The sequence below is a fragment of the Homo sapiens genome, chromosome 19 (assembly GCF_000001405.40).
Source record: "Homo sapiens chromosome 19, GRCh38.p14 Primary Assembly".
NCBI classification, from domain to species: Eukaryota; Metazoa; Chordata; class Mammalia; order Primates; family Hominidae; genus Homo; species Homo sapiens.
The window spans coordinates 41,310,150-41,328,780 of NC_000019.10; the positions used below are offsets into that span (position 1 = coordinate 41,310,150).

The window sequence follows — 18,631 nt, forward strand, 5'->3', positions numbered from 1 at the left end:
TGCGCAATGCAACGTCTGCCTTAGGCCCGGAACTTCGGTGCCTGGGCGCAGCGGTGCACCCGGACCCGGAACATTCTCAGGCGAAAGTGTCTCTTGCGTGCGTGGGCCGGAGGTTAGTGTGCGGGGCCCGCCGGGCGGTTGAAAAGTCCGAGAGAATCAGGATGGAGGCCGTGGCGACGGCGACGGCGGCGAAGGAACCCGATAAGGGTGAGATCTTGGTCACGCGCAGGCGGCGGGTGGGTGCGGTTGCGGTGTCTCTAGGAAATGATTCCCCCAGGAACGCGAAGTAGGACTCGTTTTAGGGGGACACCCACCCCCCTCAGCTTTACCGGTCCTCTTCACTACTTTGCCCAGATTATTCCCTCCCTTGTCGCGGGCTGACCTTCTTTTCCTCCATTCCTTCCCCCCGAAATTAACCTCTTCCCAGTTCCAGACCAATCCTTTCCATGTCCCTAATTCATTTCCTTACCAGGCTAACTCTCAAATTAACAGAAACCTCTCTACCCCGGCCTAATTCCTGCATTGCCTCAGACCAGCCCTTCTCAAATTACCTCCTTCCCTGTACCAAGCTGAGCCTTCCCTTGCTCTCTAGACGAATCCTCCTACCTTTCCAGGCTAAACTTCTACCTGCCTCATGCAAACTTATCCCAATCTAACGATTCCTTCATTTCATTGTAACTCCCGTTTCCCCCAAAGTCCGAAATCCAGCCAGGCTCCTTTCAAAGTCCTTACTCAATTTCTGTGCTTTCCCACAACCTTCAAAGTAATCCGACGTCGGGTGAGGTGTGATTGGAAGCGTGGCTCCAACACCACTGGCCAAGAATTGGTAATTGTGGAAGCCAGATGGAGATGATTGGTATATGGAGGTAGGGGGAGAATTGTCGTTGTACTTTCTACTTTTGTGTATGTTTGAAATTTTCTAAAAATAAAAAATTTAACCTAAAAAAAGTCTTAAGGCCGGGTGCAGTGGCTCCCGCTTGTAATCCCAACACTTTGGGAGGCCAAGGCAGGAGAGTTGCTTGAGCCCAAGAGTTTGAGACCAGCCTGGGCAAGAGAGAGAAACCTGATCTCTATAAACATTTAAAAATTAGCCAGGCCTGGTGGCTAGGGAGTAGCTAGGACAAGCTACTCAGGAGACTAAGGTGGGAGTGTCACTCGAATCCTTTGAGATTGCAGTGACCTAAGATTATTACACCACTGCACTCCAGCCTCTGCAGCAGAGTGAGACTTGAGCCCAGGAGTTTGAGACCAGCACTGGCAACATAGCCAGACCCCATCTCTACAAAAAATTTAAAAATTAAGGCCGGGCCCGGTGGCTTACACCTGTAATCGCAGCACTTTGGAAGGCGGAGGCAGGAAGATCACCTCAGGTCAGGAGTTGGAGACCAGCCTAGCCAACATAGCGAAACCCCATCTCTACTAAAAATACAAATATTAGCCAGGCGTCGTGGTATGTGCCTGTAATCCCAGCTACTCGGGAGGCTGAGGCACCAACTGGAATCACTTGAACCCGGGAGGCGGAGGTTGCAGTGAGCAGAGATCGCACCACTGTACTCCAGTCTGGGTAACAGAGCAAAACTCTGTCTCAAAAAAAAAAAAATTAGCCAGGTTTGATGGTGCATTCCTGTGGTCCCGGCTACTCAGGAGTCTGAGGCGGGAGGATCACTTGAGCCCAGGAGGTCAAAGCTGCAGTGAGCTGTGTTTGCACTATTGCATTGCAGTCTGAGCAACAGAGCAAGACCCTGTTTCAAAAAAAAGAAAAAAAATTTGTCTCTTGGCCCCATCTGTCTCCTTCAGAGAGTCATGTATACTTGGTCTTCATTTCCTCGTCTCCTGCTCACGACTGTCTGACTTTTCTCCTAAGAAACTGCTCTGATTAGGGTCTGCACTGACTTCCCCCATGTTGTTCAATTCAGTCCCCCCATTCAGGTTTTTGTTTGTTTGTTTGTTTTTTGAGAGAGTCTCACTCTGTTGCCCAGGCTGGAGTGCAGTGGCATGATCTCAGCTCACTGCAACCTCCACCTCCCAGGTTCAAGTGATTCCCGTGCCTCAGCCTCCCAAGTAGCTGGGATCACAGGTGCCCGCCACTATGCCTGTCTAATTTTGTATATTTTTAGTAGAGATGGGGTTTCACCATGTTGGCCAGGCTGGCCTCGAACTTCTGACCTCAAGAGATCCTCCTGCCTCAGCCTCCCATAGTGCTGGGATTACAGGTGTGAGCCACCACACTTGGCCCATTCAGGTTTTTTTTCTTACTAGACTGGACTAGAATTAAATGCTGTTGATCCTTCCATCCTTTTTGCATGTTTTCCTTTGGCTTCAGCGACACCACAGTGCCTGATTTCCTGCCTGTCTCTCAGGCTGCTCCTTCTCAGCCTGACTTTGTTTCCCAGGGGTGCTGTAACAAAGTACTACAAACTGCATGGCTTCAAACAACAGAACTTTATTCTCTCATAGTTCTCAAGGCCAGAAGGCTGAAGTCAGTGTTGCTGAACTGAAATCCAGGTGTCTGCAGGGTCGTGCTTCCCCACAGGCTCTGGGAGAAAACCCATTTCTTGCCTCTTCCAGCCAGTGGTGGTTTCTGGAATTCCTTGGCATGTGGCTACATCACTCCAATCTCTGCTTCCCCTTTTGACGTTGCCTTCTTTTTTTTTAAGACGGAGTCTCGCTCTGTTGACCAGGCTGGAGTACGTGATCTCGGTTCACTGCAACCTCTGCCTCCGGAGTTCAAACAATTCTCCTACCTCAGCCTCCTGAGTACCTGGGACTACAGGAGTGCGCCACCACACCTGGCTAATTTTTTGTATTTTTGGTAGAGCGCCATGTTGGCCAAGCTGGTCTTGAGCTCCTGACCTGAAGTGATTCTCTCACCTTGGCCTCCCAAAGTGCTGGGATTACAGGGGTGAGCCATTGCAACCGGCCTCTTTTTTTTTAAGATAACAGTAATGGGCTCCAGGGATTACGATGTAGCTATCTTTTGCACAGCCAGTTTTTAGCTTCAGAGGCATGTCCTCCCCGCATCTGTGCAGTGCTTTTTCCTGGACCCTCTTGTCATCCCTCTCCCACTCCCCTGTGCCCTCCCCAGTCCCTACCTCTCATTTCTCTTGGCTTTGGTTCTTGTCTTGATTCTGATGACACCCACAGCTCTGTCTCCAGCCCAACATTTCTCTCCTGAGGAGTCTGGAGGCCCGTGTAGCAGCAGTCGGACCATTCCCCTGGATGCCTCCCTTACTTCCAGCACGTCAGCCCTGTGGCTCCTCCACTCAGCCTCCTGACATCTTTCTGATTCGCTCACTCATGATCCTGTTCCTTCCTCCACAGCCCCTGCCCTTGTCCAGCTCAGTCTTCAGCTGCATCAGTGATTTAAATCCTCCCTGATACACACAACACATGTATGTCACCTGTGACTTCTTTCCTCCCCAACCCAGCCACGCTGCTTAAAGTTGTCTCTATATTCTGTTTTCACGTATTTCCTGCTTGCCGCAGGCTTGCTCCCTCCACTCTTGGGAAACAAGTCTCACCAAGGTTTGCCCAGCGCTCCGCTTTCCTGTTTTCTTTCCATTTTTTTGAGACAGAGTCTTCACTCTGTCACCCAGGCTGGAGTGCAATGGCTGATCTCGGCTCACTGCAACCTCTGCCTCATGGGTTCAAGCGATTCTTGTGCCTCTGCTTCCTGAGTAGCAGGGATTACAGGTGCCCACCACCATGCCCAGCTGATTTTTGTATTTTTAATAGAGAGAGGGTTTCACCATGTTGGCCAGGCTGGTCTTGAATTTGTGGCCTCAAGTGATCTGCCCACCTCGGCCTCCCAAAGTGCTGGATTACAGGCATGAGCCATGGTGCCCAGCCAGCTTTCCTGTTTTCTTTGCCCATATTATTGTTGATCCTGACTGTCTCCCACATCAGACTGGGTGCTCCCTGAGGGCAGGAGCTGGACTGGATTCATCCTATGGATCCTCAGCATTGCCTGACTTAGGGCCTCTCAGAGATTTAGTGTTTTTTTTTCTTTTTTTTTTTTTAGAGTTTTGCTCTTGTTGCCCAGACTGGAGTGCAATGGCACGATCTTGGCTCACCGCAACCTCTGCCTCCCAGGTTCAAGCTATTCTCCTGCCTCAGCCTCCCGAGTAGCTGGGATTACAGGCATGTGCCACAATGGCTGATTTTGTATTTTTAGTAGAGACGGGGTTTCTCCCAGTTGGTCAGGCTGGTCTTGAAATCCCGACCTCAGGTGATCCACCTGCCACAGCCTCCCAAAGTGCTGGGATTACAGGCGCAAGCCACCGCGCCCGGCCTAAGATTTAGAGTTATTAAAGAGTGGTTGGGTGAACGCATGAATGCATGAGAGAGTGAATGAATGAGTAAACAAATTAGCAAATGTATTAACGATTTAAAGAATTGAGTGGATCAATAAGTCAGGCCTCAGGGCCTTTGCAGTAGTTGTTGCCTCTGCCTGGAATTCTCTTTTCCAAGAGACCTCATGGCTTAATCCCTCACCACCTGAGGTCTCTAATCAAATGTCACTTTTTTGGCAAAGCCTTCTCTGAGCCTTCCATTTAAAATTGCAGCCTTGGCCAGGCATGGTGGTTTACACTGTAATCTCAGCACTTTGGAAGCCTGAGGCAGGAGGATCACTTGAGGCCAGGAGTTCAAGACCAGCCTGGGCAACACAGCAAGACCCTGTCTCTACCAAAAAAAATTAAAATTAGGCCGGGTCCAGTGGTGCACGCCTGTAATTCCAGCACTTTGGAAGATCGAGGTGGGAGGATTGCCTGAGCTCAAGAGATTGAGACCACCCTGGGCAACCTAGTGAGACCTTGTCTTTACTGAAACTTTTTTTTTTTTTTTTTAATTTAAAGATTGGCAGGGTGCAGGCCAGGCGCAGTGGCTCACGCCTGTAATCCCAGCACTTTGGGAGGCCGAGGCGGGTGGATCACGAGGTCAGGAGTTCGAGACCAGCACAGCCAAGATGGTGAAACCCTGTCTGTACTAAAAATACAAAAATTAGCCGGGCATGGTGGCAGGTACCTGTAATCCCAGCTGCTCGGGAGGCTGAGGCAGAGAATTGCTTGAACCTGAGGCGGAGGTTGCAGTGAATCAAGATTGCTCCACTGCACTCCAGCCTGGGCGAAAGAGCGAGACTCCGTCTCAAAAAAAAAAAAAAAAAAAAAAAGATTGGCAGGGTGCAGTGGCACACACCTGTAATCCCAGCACTTTGGGAGGCCGAAGGGGAGTGGATCACCTGAGGTCAGGAGTTGGAGACCAGCCTAGCCAACATAGCGAAACCCTGTCTCTACTAAAAATACAAAAATTAACCAGGCATTTGGCTTGTACCTGTAATCCCAGCTAGTTGGGAGGCTGAGGCACCAACCACAATAACTTGAACCCAGGAGGCGGCAGTTGCAGTGGGCAGATCTCACGCCATTGCACTCCAGCCTGGGCAACAAGAGCAAAACTCCATCTCAAAAAAAAAAAAGAAAAAAAAATTTAAAGATTAACTGAGTATGGTTGTGCATGCCTGTAGTCCTGGCTGCTCAGGAGGCTGAGGTGGGAGGATTGCTTGAGCCCAGGAGTTCAGGGTTACAGTGAACCATGGTTGTGCCATTGCACTCCAGCCTGGCAATGGAGCAAGGCCTTATCTCTTAAAAAATAAAAATAAAAATAGGCCAGTCACAGTGGCTTACACCTTTAATGCCCAGCACTTTGGGAGGCCAAGGCAGGAGGATTGCTGGAGCCCTGGAGTTCGAGACCAGCCTGAGTAACATGTCAATACCCTGTCTCTACAAAAAATTTAAAAATTACACAGGCATGGTGGTATATGCCTGTGGTCCTAGCTACACGGGAGGCTGAGATGGGAGGATCGCTCAAGCCCAGGCGGTCAAGGCTGCAGTGAGCTGTGATTGCGCCCTGCACTCCAGCCTGGGTGACCGAGCAAGACCCTGTCTCGAAAATAAAATAAAATTGCAGCCTCCTCCACCTCTTCCCTCCTCCTTCCCTGTTTATTTTTCCGCATAACTCCAGGAAACACCTAACACATTATGTTTTCGGTAATTATGTTGCTAATTGTTTGTGTCCCCTACTGAAATGTCAACTTTTGCTCACTGTGGTTTCTCTAGTGCCCAGAACAGTGCCCAGAATATAGTCAGTGCCCAGTAAATGTGAGCTGAGTGAGTGACTAAGCCCCCAGTCCCTTCCCACACTCCCATCTCTGAACTAACCAATCTCTCCTTTCCTCAGGCTGCATAGAGCCTGGACCTGGGCACTGGGGTGAGCTGAGCCGGACACCAGTCCCATCTAAACCCCAGGACAAAGTGGAAGCAGCTGAGGCAACACCAGTGGCCCTGGACAGTGACACCTCCGGGGCTGAAAATGCAGCAGTGAGTGCTATGCTGCACGCTGTAGCCGCCAGCCGCCTGCCTGTTTGCAGCCAGCAGCAGGGTGAACCCGACTTGACAGAGCATGAGAAAGTGGCCATCCTGGCCCAGCTGTACCACGAGAAGCCACTGGTGTTCCTGGAGCGCTTCCGCACAGGCCTCCGTGAGGAGCATCTGGCCTGCTTTGGCCACGTGCGTGGCGACCACCGTGCAGACTTCTACTGTGCTGAGGTGGCCCGGCAGGGCACTGCCCGGCCCCGCACCCTGCGTACCCGCCTGCGTAACCGGCGCTATGCTGCCCTGCGAGAGCTGATCCAAGGTGTGGGGGCCAGATGGGCGACAGTGGGCACATATGGGGAGGGAGGGGAGACTGAGGCAGAGGGAATTAGAGAAAAGAATACAAGAGCAGAGACAGAGATCCTGGGAGAGAAGTTCTGAGACAGAGACAGGGACACAGGAAGAGACTGAGACAGAAATGTAAAGTAAGGGGGAGAGATAGACAGGGGTCCAGGGAAGAGAATGGGACAGACAATGAGAATAGATCAGAATTTAGTAGATGTTAGAAGTGGCATTTCAGATTGGTAGGCTGAGGACACAGTACACAGTGCTGTGATAATTGGTCATACCTAAGGAACAAAACATGAGATCCCTACCTCATACCATATACAGAGGCATCAGGGGAAACCAAAAGGAGTATGTACATGACCTTGGGGACACAGAAGCCTTCTGAACAAGACACACGGTGAAAACCATGAAGGAAAAAAAAGATAGCTTTTTGACCATGACATAATTAAAAGCATCCTTGTGACCACAACACCAGAACCAAAGTTAAAAGATGAGAGTGAATGAAGCAGAGTGAGTTAAGTTGCCGTTAGGGAGAAGGCACAAGTTATAGAGAGGTTCACAGAGAAAGAGAGAGAGGCTGGGCATGATGGCTTATGCCTGTAATCCCAGCACTTTGGGAGGTCAAGGTGGGTAGATTACTTGAGCTCATGAGTTCAAGACCAGCCTGGGCAACATGGCGAAATGCTGTCTCTACAAAAAATACAAAAATTAGCTGGGTGTGGTGGCGCCCTAGCTACTCAGAAGGCTGAGGTGGGAGAATTGCTTGAGCCTGGGAGGTGGAAGTTGTGTGAGCTGAGATCCCACCACTAAGCTCTAGCCTGGGCGATAAAGCCAGATCTTGTCTCAAAAAAAAAAAAAAAAAACACAGATGTGGAAATGAGGATGAAAACAGAAGGAAGATGGGCCGGGCACAGTCACTCAAGCCGGTGATCCCAGCACTTTGGGAGGGCGAGGTGGGGGTGGACCTGAGGTCAGGAGTTCCAGAGCAGCCTGGCCAACATGGTGAAACCCCATCTCTACTAAAAATACAAAAAAATTAGCCACATGTGGTGGCAGGCAACTGTAATCTCAGTTACTTGGGAGGCTGAGGGAGGAGAATTACATGAATCTGGGAGGTGGAGGTTGCCAAAAAAAAAAAAAAAAGAAGAAAGATGAATGAGGTGGGGGTAGGTGACAGAAACTGAAAAAAGCAGGAAAGATAGAAAGATGGAGATAAAGGAAGAGATGGAGAGAGATCCAGAGCCGGGGTGGGTGATAATCCAAGTTGGGGAGAAGGAGGGATAGAAACTGAATCTGCTAGAGGCTGGGCACAGTGGCTCAGACCTGTAATCCCAGCACTTTGGGAGGCCGAGGCAGGCAAATCACTTGAGATAAGGAGTTCAAGACCAGCCTGGCCAACATGGTGAAACCCCGGCTCTACTAAAAATACAAAAAAAATTAGCCAGGCACTGTGGCAGGTGCCTATAATCCCAGCTACTCAGGAGGCTGAGGCAGGAGAATCACTTGAACCCGGGAGGCGGAGGTTGCAGTTAGAGTTAATCGAGATCACACCACTACACTCCAGCCTGGGCAACAGAGCGAGACTCCATCTCAAAAAACTGAGTCTGCTAGAGGATGCCACAAACAGCTGGGGGTAAGATTGCTGGCAGGAGTGGGGAAGCTGAGCAGGACAGGGACAGTCACAGCCTATGGTGCTGCAGAGGCCAGGAGTCCGAGCAGTTTCTTTGCCCTGGACTCTGAAGACACGGCTAGGACCAGTGGAGGGGAGGGACCAGGGCAGGTTTAACTGTTATTTGAGGGACAGAGTCACTCGTGCAGAAACAGGCAGCCAGGGGTGATGCAGGGAACTCAAGTTTTGGGGTAGTGGGGAAGCCAGGCCCACCTGAGGGGTTGCTGCATAGAGGAGCACTCGAGAGAGGATGGATCTAGGGCCTTCCACCACCAGGAGGCTTTCCCAGGGATACACGGGCAGATGCCCCACCTGACCTGATCCCTTGCACACACATGCCAAATCCACGTGGATGTACACACATACACGCCCCACAGTGAAGGCGTGTCCACTGCCAGCCAGACTAGGGCCCCACAAACAGGCACACAACCTAGAGACACACAACTTCTGCTGCATTGTCCTGCATGCTGACACCCAGACAGACAGGTGTCTGTGGGCATATGCTGGGCCTCACAGGACATGTGTGTGTACATAGGCCATGTACACGTCCATGGGCAGGAGCTTGTGCATCGTGCCTGGACACAGTTGTACACGAGCTCCAGACCGTCAGAGCCTCAGAGGCCAGGATGTAGCCAGGTCTGCCCATGCACACACATGCTTGGATGCATGAATACATGAATACACAGGAAGATAGAGGCCGGGCCACATACACACACTCAGGTGCCTGCACGAGTAATCACATGCACATGACCTCAGGTGCCTGCATGAGTGCTTGCGCACACAGCTTCAGGCACCTGCATGAGTATTCACGTGCATGCCTCAGGCGCCTGCATTATTCACACGCACGCCTCAGGCGCCTGCATGAGTACTCACGCGCACCTCAGGTGCCTGCATGTTTTCCTGTGTTTTTGAATGTGTGCATACACACACTTGGACTGTGTATGCACATCATCCCACAAGCATGATCACACACATACCCACATGGACACTATCTGCTCAGTCGCTCACCCCATGCCCACCCTGTCTCTCCTCTGTGCAGGGGGCGAGTACTTCAGTGATGAGCAGATGCGGTTCCGGGCCCCCCTGCTATATGAGCAGTACATCGGGCAGTATCTCACCCAGGAGGAGCTCAGTGCCCGCACCCCAACCCACCAGCCCCCCAAGCCCGGGTCCCCCGGGAGACCTGCTTGCCCGCTCTCCAACTTGCTGCTCCAGTCCTACGAGGAGCGGGAGCTACAGCAGCGTCTGCTCCAACAGCAGGAGGAGGAGGAGGCCTGCTTGGAGGAAGAGGAAGAGGAGGAGGACAGTGACGAGGAAGGTGAGGGCCAGTAGCAGGAAGACCCCAGATTCCAGACACCCCAGCCCTAGGCCTGTCTGTCTCCACTTCATGGCAGCAGGCTGGGCCCCCAACCTGCAAAAGCCGACATTGCGTCCCTCCCCTGCCCAGCCTGACTCTCTGTGTATGCCCTTCCAACCGCTGCAGCATCCCCATCCCCCACTCTGAGGCACCAAATGAACCCTCGCCTCCAGGTCTGGACAGGCTGTTCCCTCCGCCAGGAATGCCTCTCCTCCCACCCTTCAGGTCTCAGATCCTGACCCGAGGATACAGTCTCCAGAGCACTATATGGTCATGTGTTTTATGCGTGTCCCTGGAGGGCAGGGACCAGGGCCATCTCTGTCACTAGTGTGTTCCCAGAGCCACCCAGCGCAAGGCTGGGCACAGGAGCAGCAGCTCTCTGTGGACTCTGTGCTCAGTGCCTGCCCGAGTGCACCCGCATTCACACCCCCTCTCCTCTCCCTCTGCAGACCAGAGGTCAGGCAAGGACTCGGAGGCCTGGGTTCCCGACTCGGAGGAGAGGCTGATCCTGCGAGAGGAGTTCACCAGCCGCATGCACCAGCGCTTCCTAGATGGCAAGGACGGGGACTTTGACTACAGGTGCTCCTGTGCCTCCACCTCCCCATCCCCCAGCCCAGCATCCCACGGCCTTTGGTCACATGCAGAGCCCTTAACAAGCTGTGGGGGTCTCCCTTTGTGGAGCTACAAGGCCCCAAAACAGTTCCAGGATGTGGGGTTGAACAGCCAAAGGAAGAGGCTGGGTGACCTCGGACTAGCCTTGTCCATCTCAGACCCTCAGTCTCCTCACCTCTAAGGCAGGGGATGGACAGGGATGACATATAGCTCAGTATCAATGAAACCCTGAAACACTTCCCTCCTGGCAATGGCAGAGGCTACTACCCCAAGCCCCCCAAGTCTCCCTAGGAAGCCCAACCTCTTCCGCTTCACCTTGGACCTCCTCATGCTGCAGGAAGTAACCCCTGGCAAAGTTCATGCCCGGCATGGAGGGGCCTGCACTGGCTGCCCCCACAGTTACAGTTGTTCATTTCTCCAGTAGCACCCCAGGGCTGAGACACGTGGGCCACCTGCTTTGGAAAAGGACCCAGGAGAGTGATGTGTCAGTCAAAGATTGGTTTTGTCATTTAAGGTAGCTTTGCCTTGTGGTCCCAAACACTGGGCCCAGCAGCAGAGGACCCTCCTTGGTTTCACATCCAGCCCCGATGACATGTGAAATGTGTGACCACACATAAGCGGACCCTACGTCCGTCCTGAGGTGGGCTCATCAGGAAAGTGGGAATTGTGATTGCCCCTGCCGTGGGGCCCAGCCATGGTCACCAGAGCCTCCTCCCATTCTGGGATCCCTGGCTCTTGAATGGAATCTGGCTGCTCCACTTCCAGCCAGGCAGGCCTGCTCAGAGCCCCAGTTCCTGCACGCAAAGTGGTGAGCAGAGGGCCTGGACCATGGGGACCCTCATTCAGCAGGCATCACTGCTGTTCCCAAGCCAGGGCCCAGGAGGAAATTGGGGGTGGCAGGGACCACAGTGTGTTGCCTCGGGAGGGCAGCAGTGGCCCCGACGTGTCCCCCATCCGTGCATTCAGTTGGCATGTGCTGAGCATCTGTGATGTCCACAGGCTCTGGGGATAAGGCGGGGACCAAAACCAACGAAAGGCTTCCCTGCCTGAAAAGGGGTCCCACTCTAGTGAGGAAGATCTAGAATTTTCTAGCACTTCATGGTGATGGGGCCATGAGGAAAAGTGAAGCAGTGGGAGGGGAGTGACAGGGTGGCTAGGGAAGGCCTCTCTGAGGGGCTGACAGCAAAGGCCTGCAGGAAGTGGGAGGAGCATTCCTGGCAGAGGCCATAGTAGGTGCCAGAGCCCCCAGCAGCACCAAGGGGCAGAAGGGGCTGGAGCAGTCGCAAGGGGTCGCAAGGGGGTAGGAGATCTCTGAGTGGCCAAATCAAGCTAGGCTTGGCAACCCAAGTGCGTGCTGCTGGGTTTACTTGCTGCCTTAGGGCATGGGCAGCTGTCCTGCCTGTGGTCAGCTCTGGCTAATCCCGGCCTCTATCCACTGGAGGGCAGTAGCAAGCCCCCAGTGATGACGTCAAAATGTCAAAATGCCGTGGGGGCAAAATTACCCCCAAGTGGTTCTTTGTTGAGAGCCACTGCCTGCTTGAGAATGTAAGCCCATGTGTCGCCACATTTTACAGCTTTTTAAGAAAAACTAGAGCTTTGGGGTTTTTTTTAGACAGGGTCTCCTTTGTCACCCAGGCTGGAATGTGGTGGTTTGATCATAGCTCACCGCAGCCTTGACCTCCTGGCCTGAAGTGAGCCTCCCGCCTCAGCCAACTGAGTAAGCTGGGACTACAGGTGCTCACCACCACGCCTGGCTACTTTTTCAATTTTTTTGTAGAGACAGGGTCTCCCTTTGTTGCCCAGGGCTCCAACTGCTGGGCTCAAGCCATCTTCCTGCCTTGGCCTCCCATAGTGCTGGGATTGCAGGCATGAGCCACCATGCCCAGCCCAGAGTTTTTGTGCAAACTCTGATTTGGAAAATGTTCCCTTGAGTTTTAAACCCTGAGAGTTTTAAACACTATCTCCCTTGGGAGGGTCAGCTCTGACGGCTGCCAGCACATGGCCTTTGACATCAGGGTGCCCCAGGCCTTTGACCTGGGCATCCGAGGGTCCCAGGGAGACCCAGTCCTTGACAGCCTCCTCCTCCTGCAGCACAGTAGACGACAACCCCGACTTCGACAACCTCGACATCGTGGCACGGGATGAGGAGGAGAGGTACTTTGATGAGGAAGAACCTGAGGATGCGCCCAGCCCAGAGCTGGATGGGGACTGATGGCCGCCACCCTTCCCACCGCCTGCCCCATCCCCATCCCCAACAAGGCAGCTGATTCCAGGCCTGCTCAGTGACCCTTTCTCTAGGGGGACATCAGGGCAGTGCCCCACAACCCACACACACCACCATCTCACTGGGTCTAGTCTCATCTCAGACAACCCCCACCCCCACTGTTTCTGGGGTTCCCTTTCTCATCTCTCCCACCCTGTCTCCTGCCTCTGTCTTTCTTGGTGTCTGTCTGGGCTTCTTTCTGTCTCTTTCTGTCTTTCTGTCTCTCTCCCTACCCCCGCTCCCTCTTTCCAGTGCTCTGGCTGGCTGTCTCTCCCTTTCTCCCCCTCTCTCTCTGCCTTAGGCTCTGTCTCCACCGCAGGGCCCAAGGTGAAAGTCCTCCCCTTGCCGGAGGCCAGCTGGCAGGGCCTTTCGTGGCTGGAAGTGGCCAGTTTGGTTCCGGTGCTGACCCCTAGGCCCCAGCGCAGCTGCCTCCCGTGCTGTCTGTCTCCCCCTCTCTGTTTATGTCTGCGCTGTGTCTCACACTCAGAGCCTCCTTGCTTCTGTTAGGTTCCCATCTCTCCTTCTGCCTCACTCTGGGCCTCTTCTTTCTACTTGTACATTTCCACCTCTCTAGGCCTCTGCTCTCACTGTCCCTCTCTGTCTGTCTCTCAGCCTTTATCTCTGGGTTTTGATCCCCCACTCCAGGCTCTGGGCCCCTTCTTCCCCCTTCCCTCAAACCTGGCTGCTATAGGCAGCAGAACCCTGACCACTGAGTAATACAGCCCCAGGGGAGGGAGGAGACCCCAGGCAGGGAGGATGGGGGCAGCTCTCTTCTCTCCCCAGGACCCAGGCTGTGGATCACGGGGCCTGCCAGCTTGAGTGTAGAGGGAGGGGGGACTCTACCCTTCTCAGCCCCACCAGCCCCCCTCTGCCCAACCACAATTTTCCCTTCCTCCGCCTTCCTCTCCCTCTCCTGTTTACACTCCCCAAATGCGCACAGGCTGTTATCATGGGTCCTGAGTCATCCCACACACAGCCTGCCCCAGCGTCCCTGCCCCCAGCTGGCCGCAGGGCCCGCCCCATGGAGCCCCCTGCCGCCCTGGGCTAATGGGAGCCAGATGGCCGCCTGGTGACTCAGCCACCGGGCCTGTGGGAACCCAGGCGTCCCGCCTTCCCATGCCCCCACACCCGGCTCCTGCTCCCCCAGCAGACACACACAGGAGGGCCTGGCCACTGTTGAGGGGGCACACAGGGCAAGGGTCACCAAGTCGGGGCCTAGGGACTCCTCATGCCTCTGAGATGGAATGGTGGTATCCTGCCGTGGCCAAGCCTGAAGGACCCTCAAAACTGCCTCCTGGAGTCCACGGTTCCTGACCTCCGAGCCTCAGCTATGCCCTCTGGGTCAACCAGAATTAGAGCCAGACAGGGAAAGTGAGAGCTGGATGGAGGCAGACAAGATGCTCAGAGCGACTATTAAAGAACGAAAGCCTCTGCTACGGAGCGCTTCTGTCCTCTGTCAGGCCCGAGCGAAGTGCCTGACACCGGGTTGGATCCTCAGATGGCCCCATGAACTAGTGAAGTGGGTCAAAGGAGGCCTGGAAAGATGTTGCTTCCTCAAGGCCACTCGGCCATCAGAGGCAGAAATGAAACAGGAACCCAGGCCTAGAATCACAAAGGTCCTAGAAACCACTTGGCTGTCTGGCCTCTCAGGTGTCAGGGCCATCCAGAGTGAGACAGCATTGGAGGGACAAGTGTGCATGCAGATGTCCTCAGACGGGAAGGTTTGAGAAGGGTCAGATGGTAGGCGGGCCTAACAAGGGCTCCGTGCTAGCCACTGTCCCGCACACAGACAGGATCAGGTCATCTTGATATGGAGATCAGTCCCCAAATCACTGAATTGTCCCAGCAGTGCTATGCCCTAGGTACTACCAATATCACTCCTCTATTTCCCAGAGGAGGAAGCAGCAGCTAGACTCCAGGACCTTGGGGTCATATCTCTCAGAAAGCCAAGAGTGCAGGATGAGAGCTGTCTGTCTCTTACCTGCCTGTATTTGTGCCCCATTTTTAAAGAGCAGAGGGCCTGGGCCACAGGAAAGGTATCAGCCCTTGGTGATAGGCACATTTTTTACCAGTCTATCATTTGGTCATTAAATTTGTTTACAATATACTTTGCTATACGTAAATTTGTTGTGTAGGTTTTTAAAAAGCGATGAGAGACACAGAAATTGAGTCAGAATTAGGGTTAGTCAGATGGTCAAGACGTGAGCATCTAGCTGACAGACAGAGGTGGAGCCAGTCCCAGGGACAGGGATTAGATGGGGAGACAGGAAGAGAGGTGGAGACAGAGTGGGGTAGGGATGACGGGAGACACACCCCCTGGTCACTGCCTCTGAGACCTGGGGGTGGTGGGCCCCAGGGCGGGTGCCTCCCATCCCCCTCCCAGTTCTCCCGGGGTCGGGGTAGGTGGAAAGGCTGAGTCAGGGAGGGCGGGCCCCGCTGGGAGACAACCCCTAGGTGGGCATCCGGCCCCCACCCCCGTGTCTCCTGTCCGTCCTGGCCCTGGCCTGGCTCGCTGGCCTGGCCGCCACCCCGCCCCCCACGTCTGACACCTCCATGCGTCCTGCCAAAGCAAGCTGCCTCCCTGCACTCTTCCCCCTCCAGCTCCAGTCACTCTGTCCCTCTGTCCCCCGTCCCTTCTCCCTGCTTCTGTGCGTTTCTTTCCAGCCCTCTGCCTTCCTCCCTCACCGCCACTGCTCTGTCTTCTCGTTCTGTCTCCACACCTCTGGCTGTCGGTGTCTCCCCGTGACTTTCCGTCTCCCCTCTCTCTCCTCCCTTGTTTTTCCCATGCCTCTCCCTCCCTCCCTCCCTCCCTCTCCTCCCCACCTTTTCCACTCCGTGTCCCCAGCCATTCTCCATCTCTGTTCTCAGCTCCTGTCACCTCGTTTCCCCATCCCTTTCTCTGCTGGAGTCTCCCTCTGGGGGGCTCTGTCCTCTCCTCACTTTGCCCTTTCCCTCTCGCTGCTGTGTGTCTTGGCCCGCCCCCCGTGCCCCCCATCTCCTCTGTCTCCCACACTCTGGGAAGCCCGGCTGGGATATCCAGGTTGGAGCCTCACTGGCGGCCACTGGAAACCCAGAATGAGGGGTCATCGCCTCTCGCCCACCCAGAAAGGGCGCAGGAGGGGGCAGCAAGGTTGCGGGGCCTGTCTGGCCAGAAGGAAATGTCTGTGCTGTGGCCTGGTCACCCCCGCCCCCAGGACCTGCTGGGCTGCTGCCGCCCCCGGCCGGGGCTGAGGCCGAGTAAACACAGCAAACACAGCCGCCGGCAGCCTGGGATATTTATACCGAGGCTGGGCGTGGGTCCAGTGCCCACCACAGCCCCTGCCCTGCCCTGCCTTGCCTGCTGCCACAGCCAGCTCCGAGCCAGCGTGGCACCAGCCGGCAAGGGGACGCGCCGCAGACACAGCCTGCGCTGGGTATGGAGGCCAACAGGCACTGGCCGCTCATGATGCAGGCGGCTCCATGGACGCACCCTGTCCCCCTCCCCTGAAAACACCAGCACACAATGTGGACCCACACTCGCAGCTGCTCACAAACACACATCCACCCCTGCTGAGAACGCGAAATCCCCTCAACGATGATGCAAAACAGACCCACACAACTCCACACACTGCAGTCACCAGCCTACATGTGGGAACACAGCATGCAGACACCACCTTAGCACCTGCTCACAGCACCCACAGGCTGGGAACACCAGTCCCTGAGATGGACACACAGCCCCGAAGTACAGCCCTCCCTCACACAGACAAACACTGAGAACCACAGGAAGCATGCTGGATGCACACCACGTAGACAAACATGCTCAGAATACCAGCGACACATGCACTGATCACAGTGCAACCCAGAAACAACTCAACTCATCTGCCTCATATGTAAGAAACACACACGGCCGGGCGCGGTGGCTCATGCCTGTGTCTCAGCACTTTGGGAGACCAAGGTGGGTGGATTACAAGGTCAGGAGTTCGAGACCAGCCTGGCCAACATGGTGAAATCCCATCTCTACTAAAAATACAAAAATTAGACGGGTGTGGTGGTGGGTGCCTGTAATCCCATCTACTCGGGAGGCTGAGGCAGGAGAATCGCTTGAGCCTGGGAGGCGGAGCTTGCAGTGAGACAAGATCGCGCCATTGCACTCCAGCCCAGGCGACAGAGCAAGACCCCGTCTTACACATATACACACACACTCACTCCCCTCTCCTGGAGAAACACCATTCCCACAGATGATTAACATATGCAGAAAACACCACATTTCAAGTCAAACTTACACTTAAAAATGCACAAATTTACACTCAGAAGAACAGTGAAGATGTTGAGAAAAATATCAGACACACAATATGCCCCAGATACATGGCCGACTTGCAGAATCAAACAGTGCCAGAGCATAAAACCCACAGAAAATACAACAGCTTGCCCAGCAGAAATACAAAATGCAGACGCACACCCCAGAAATGCAGCGCAGCCACAAACACACGGAGCTAACACGTGCTGGGGACACACATAGACAAGACCATCCATACCAAACAGCACACAGGCCCCCAGAACACCCATGCCAGACGCAGCTCACGCCACAAAGCTTGGAATCACGCACACAATAAGTTCCTGAACACACAAATCCGAATCCACACTGGAACCTCAAATACTCTGCATGTCCAGAGACTAAGGGGGAAGGGGCTTTCTCTCACCCACCAATCTCCCCACTCCCCCTTGCTGACCCGGGTCCCAGGCCCGTCTTGGGGGCGGGGGAGGGGGCAGGAAGGCCTGAGCTGGCCTCCCCCAGCAGCTTCCTGCCCCACGGGGGCTGGACAGGAAGCTGGGGCTCCAGCCGGAACCCAGGCTCCCCCCACGACTTCCCTCTGTGGCCCCGGGCCGCCTGCAGAGGCAGGGGCGGGGCAGGGGGAGGAAGCGGGGAGCCCCAAACCCCCTGCCCTGCCCCTGCGGTCGGCCACAGGCGGGGGCAGACTTGTCCCGACGGGGCTGAGCCACCCATCGGGCCTGGGTGCCAGGGTGGCAGGGCAGGGGCAGTGCGCACGCGGCCAGAGGAAGGTGCTGAGCCCACAGTTTCCCCTCCCCGCCCTGTGGGGCTGTGCCAGCTCAGCCGGCAGCCCTGGGCAGGTGGGCGGGGTGTGTCATGAGGGCGTGTTGGGCAGGCCGACCACACCGCGAATGTGCAGCCAGCACTTGTCCTCAGGCCGAGGCACGAGCTGGGGCTGGGCATGTGAGGGCCGCGTCTGCCACCCTGGGGGTGTGTCTGCTCCGTCTGGGACCCTGGGTGTGACAGTGTGTCTGGGCGTGACGTGACGGGGTCGCTGCAATCTGTGGGGCCCTGTGGGACTCCCCAGGCTGGAATTGTGCGTGTGTGGCGGAGGGTGTGGGATGTCAGACTGAGTGGGTAAGACCGACCTGCTGTCTGTGAGGTTGTGACGTGTCAGACCTCTGTGTGGGGTGTGTCTGGTGGGACTGTGACAGGTCCGACTGTGGACATGCACCCTGGACCTGTTTGTGACTGTGAACCCATGGAGGAGGAGGTGGCTGTTGAGGGATCCATTTCCTGTCCGGGCTCTGATGCCGTGATGCGTGTGCGTGCATGACACTGTTTGAATCAGTGTCTGGTGTGCGGTGGTTGCGACCATGACCCTGTGGAATATATTTGTATATGACTGTGTTGTGCCAGGTCCCTATTGAAGTCTCTGCTCGTGTTGTGTCCCAGTGAGGCTCCGAGGCTGGGTGGTGTTTACGTGATGGGCTGACACTTTCTCTATTTGTATCTGTGTATATGTGGGCTGCAGCTGCTGCCAAATGACACAGCCCATGTGTTACGGGCCCTGCAGGAATCTCTGTGTGTCCACGGCGGCTCTGAGAGGTGAATATTTGTGTAGTGTGGGGCACCGTCCGTGTTTCCCGCCGTGTGAGTGTGTCTGCATGTGTACACGCACCACATCCTCATAGGGCTGCAGCGATTACAGCCGAGTCACTGTGTCCTAGCTTGTGACTCTGCCTCTTGGGGCCAGACCTCAGCA

The 18,631-nt window shown here is 54.9% G+C and overlaps 1 protein-coding gene across 2 annotated transcripts, besides 16 other annotated features; it reads left to right on the forward strand.

Moving 5' to 3' along the window:
- CCDC97 (coiled-coil domain containing 97) lies at positions 23-14,724 on the forward strand. 2 transcript variants are annotated; one of them, NM_052848.3, is made up of 5 exons: positions 23-207; positions 6,235-6,690; positions 9,425-9,703; positions 10,192-10,321; positions 12,446-14,724. In NM_052848.3, exons 1-5 carry the CDS (start codon positions 162-164, stop codon positions 12,564-12,566), a joined length of 1,032 nt encoding a protein of 343 aa, NP_443080.1. In that variant the 5' UTR covers positions 23-161; the 3' UTR covers positions 12,567-14,724. The 2 variants fall into 2 exon arrangements, with proteins under 2 accessions (NP_443080.1, NP_001333029.1); NM_001346100.2 differs by lacking the exon at positions 23-207 and adding an exon at positions 328-866.
- Positions 69-358: an enhancer, noted in NCBI's record as "active region_14674". NCBI's record gives its function as "activates an Ori minimal core promoter by ATAC-STARR-seq in GM12878 lymphoblastoid cells {active_cell/tissue: GM12878}" and the evidence as "EXISTENCE:reporter gene assay evidence [ECO:0000049][PMID:35858748]".
- Positions 9,783-10,520: an enhancer, noted in NCBI's record as "H3K27ac-H3K4me1 hESC enhancer chr19:41825837-41826574 (GRCh37/hg19 assembly coordinates)". NCBI's record gives its function as "activates a minimal SCP1, AML or CMV promoter by ChIP-STARR-seq in naive H9 embryonic stem cells {active_cell/tissue: H9 hESC(naive)}" and the evidence as "EXISTENCE:reporter gene assay evidence [ECO:0000049][PMID:30033119]".
- Positions 11,575-11,869: a silencer, noted in NCBI's record as "tiled region #2264; K562 Repressive non-DNase unmatched - State 25:Art". NCBI's record gives its function as "represses a minimal TATA promoter and a strong SV40 promoter by Sharpr-MPRA in K562 cells {active_cell/tissue: K562}" and the evidence as "EXISTENCE:reporter gene assay evidence [ECO:0000049][PMID:27701403]".
- Positions 11,575-12,249: a biological region, named in NCBI's record as "Sharpr-MPRA regulatory regions 2264 and 10656".
- Positions 11,955-12,249: a silencer, noted in NCBI's record as "tiled region #10656; K562 Repressive non-DNase unmatched - State 25:Art". NCBI's record gives its function as "represses a minimal TATA promoter and a strong SV40 promoter by Sharpr-MPRA in K562 cells {active_cell/tissue: K562}" and the evidence as "EXISTENCE:reporter gene assay evidence [ECO:0000049][PMID:27701403]".
- Positions 12,418-12,904: a silencer, noted in NCBI's record as "fragment chr19:41828472-41828958 (GRCh37/hg19 assembly coordinates)". NCBI's record gives its function as "represses an EF-1alpha promoter that drives an FKBP-Casp9 reporter gene in an ReSE screen in phorbol 12-myristate 13-acetate-treated (for megakaryocytic differentiation) K562 erythroleukemia cells {active_cell/tissue: K562(+PMA)}" and the evidence as "EXISTENCE:reporter gene assay evidence [ECO:0000049][PMID:32094911]".
- Positions 13,003-13,772: an enhancer, noted in NCBI's record as "H3K27ac-H3K4me1 hESC enhancer chr19:41829057-41829826 (GRCh37/hg19 assembly coordinates)". NCBI's record gives its function as "activates a minimal SCP1, AML or CMV promoter by ChIP-STARR-seq in primed H9 embryonic stem cells {active_cell/tissue: H9 hESC(primed)}" and the evidence as "EXISTENCE:reporter gene assay evidence [ECO:0000049][PMID:30033119]".
- Positions 13,665-13,714: a silencer, noted in NCBI's record as "silent region_10656". NCBI's record gives its function as "represses an Ori minimal core promoter by ATAC-STARR-seq in GM12878 lymphoblastoid cells {active_cell/tissue: GM12878}" and the evidence as "EXISTENCE:reporter gene assay evidence [ECO:0000049][PMID:35858748]".
- Positions 14,543-15,312: an enhancer, noted in NCBI's record as "H3K27ac-H3K4me1 hESC enhancer chr19:41830597-41831366 (GRCh37/hg19 assembly coordinates)". NCBI's record gives its function as "activates a minimal SCP1, AML or CMV promoter by ChIP-STARR-seq in naive H9 embryonic stem cells {active_cell/tissue: H9 hESC(naive)}" and the evidence as "EXISTENCE:reporter gene assay evidence [ECO:0000049][PMID:30033119]".
- Positions 14,952-15,051: a silencer, noted in NCBI's record as "silent region_10657". NCBI's record gives its function as "represses an Ori minimal core promoter by ATAC-STARR-seq in GM12878 lymphoblastoid cells {active_cell/tissue: GM12878}" and the evidence as "EXISTENCE:reporter gene assay evidence [ECO:0000049][PMID:35858748]".
- Positions 15,313-16,082: an enhancer, noted in NCBI's record as "H3K27ac-H3K4me1 hESC enhancer chr19:41831367-41832136 (GRCh37/hg19 assembly coordinates)". NCBI's record gives its function as "activates a minimal SCP1, AML or CMV promoter by ChIP-STARR-seq in naive H9 embryonic stem cells {active_cell/tissue: H9 hESC(naive)}" and the evidence as "EXISTENCE:reporter gene assay evidence [ECO:0000049][PMID:30033119]".
- Positions 16,411-16,550: an enhancer, noted in NCBI's record as "active region_14675". NCBI's record gives its function as "activates an Ori minimal core promoter by ATAC-STARR-seq in GM12878 lymphoblastoid cells {active_cell/tissue: GM12878}" and the evidence as "EXISTENCE:reporter gene assay evidence [ECO:0000049][PMID:35858748]".
- Positions 16,661-16,710: a silencer, noted in NCBI's record as "silent region_10658". NCBI's record gives its function as "represses an Ori minimal core promoter by ATAC-STARR-seq in GM12878 lymphoblastoid cells {active_cell/tissue: GM12878}" and the evidence as "EXISTENCE:reporter gene assay evidence [ECO:0000049][PMID:35858748]".
- Positions 17,250-17,769: a silencer, noted in NCBI's record as "silent region_10659". NCBI's record gives its function as "represses an Ori minimal core promoter by ATAC-STARR-seq in GM12878 lymphoblastoid cells {active_cell/tissue: GM12878}" and the evidence as "EXISTENCE:reporter gene assay evidence [ECO:0000049][PMID:35858748]".
- Positions 17,250-18,014: a biological region, named in NCBI's record as "H3K27ac-H3K4me1 hESC enhancer GRCh37_chr19:41833547-41834068".
- Positions 17,493-18,014: an enhancer, noted in NCBI's record as "H3K27ac-H3K4me1 hESC enhancer chr19:41833547-41834068 (GRCh37/hg19 assembly coordinates)". NCBI's record gives its function as "activates a minimal SCP1, AML or CMV promoter by ChIP-STARR-seq in naive H9 embryonic stem cells {active_cell/tissue: H9 hESC(naive)}" and the evidence as "EXISTENCE:reporter gene assay evidence [ECO:0000049][PMID:30033119]".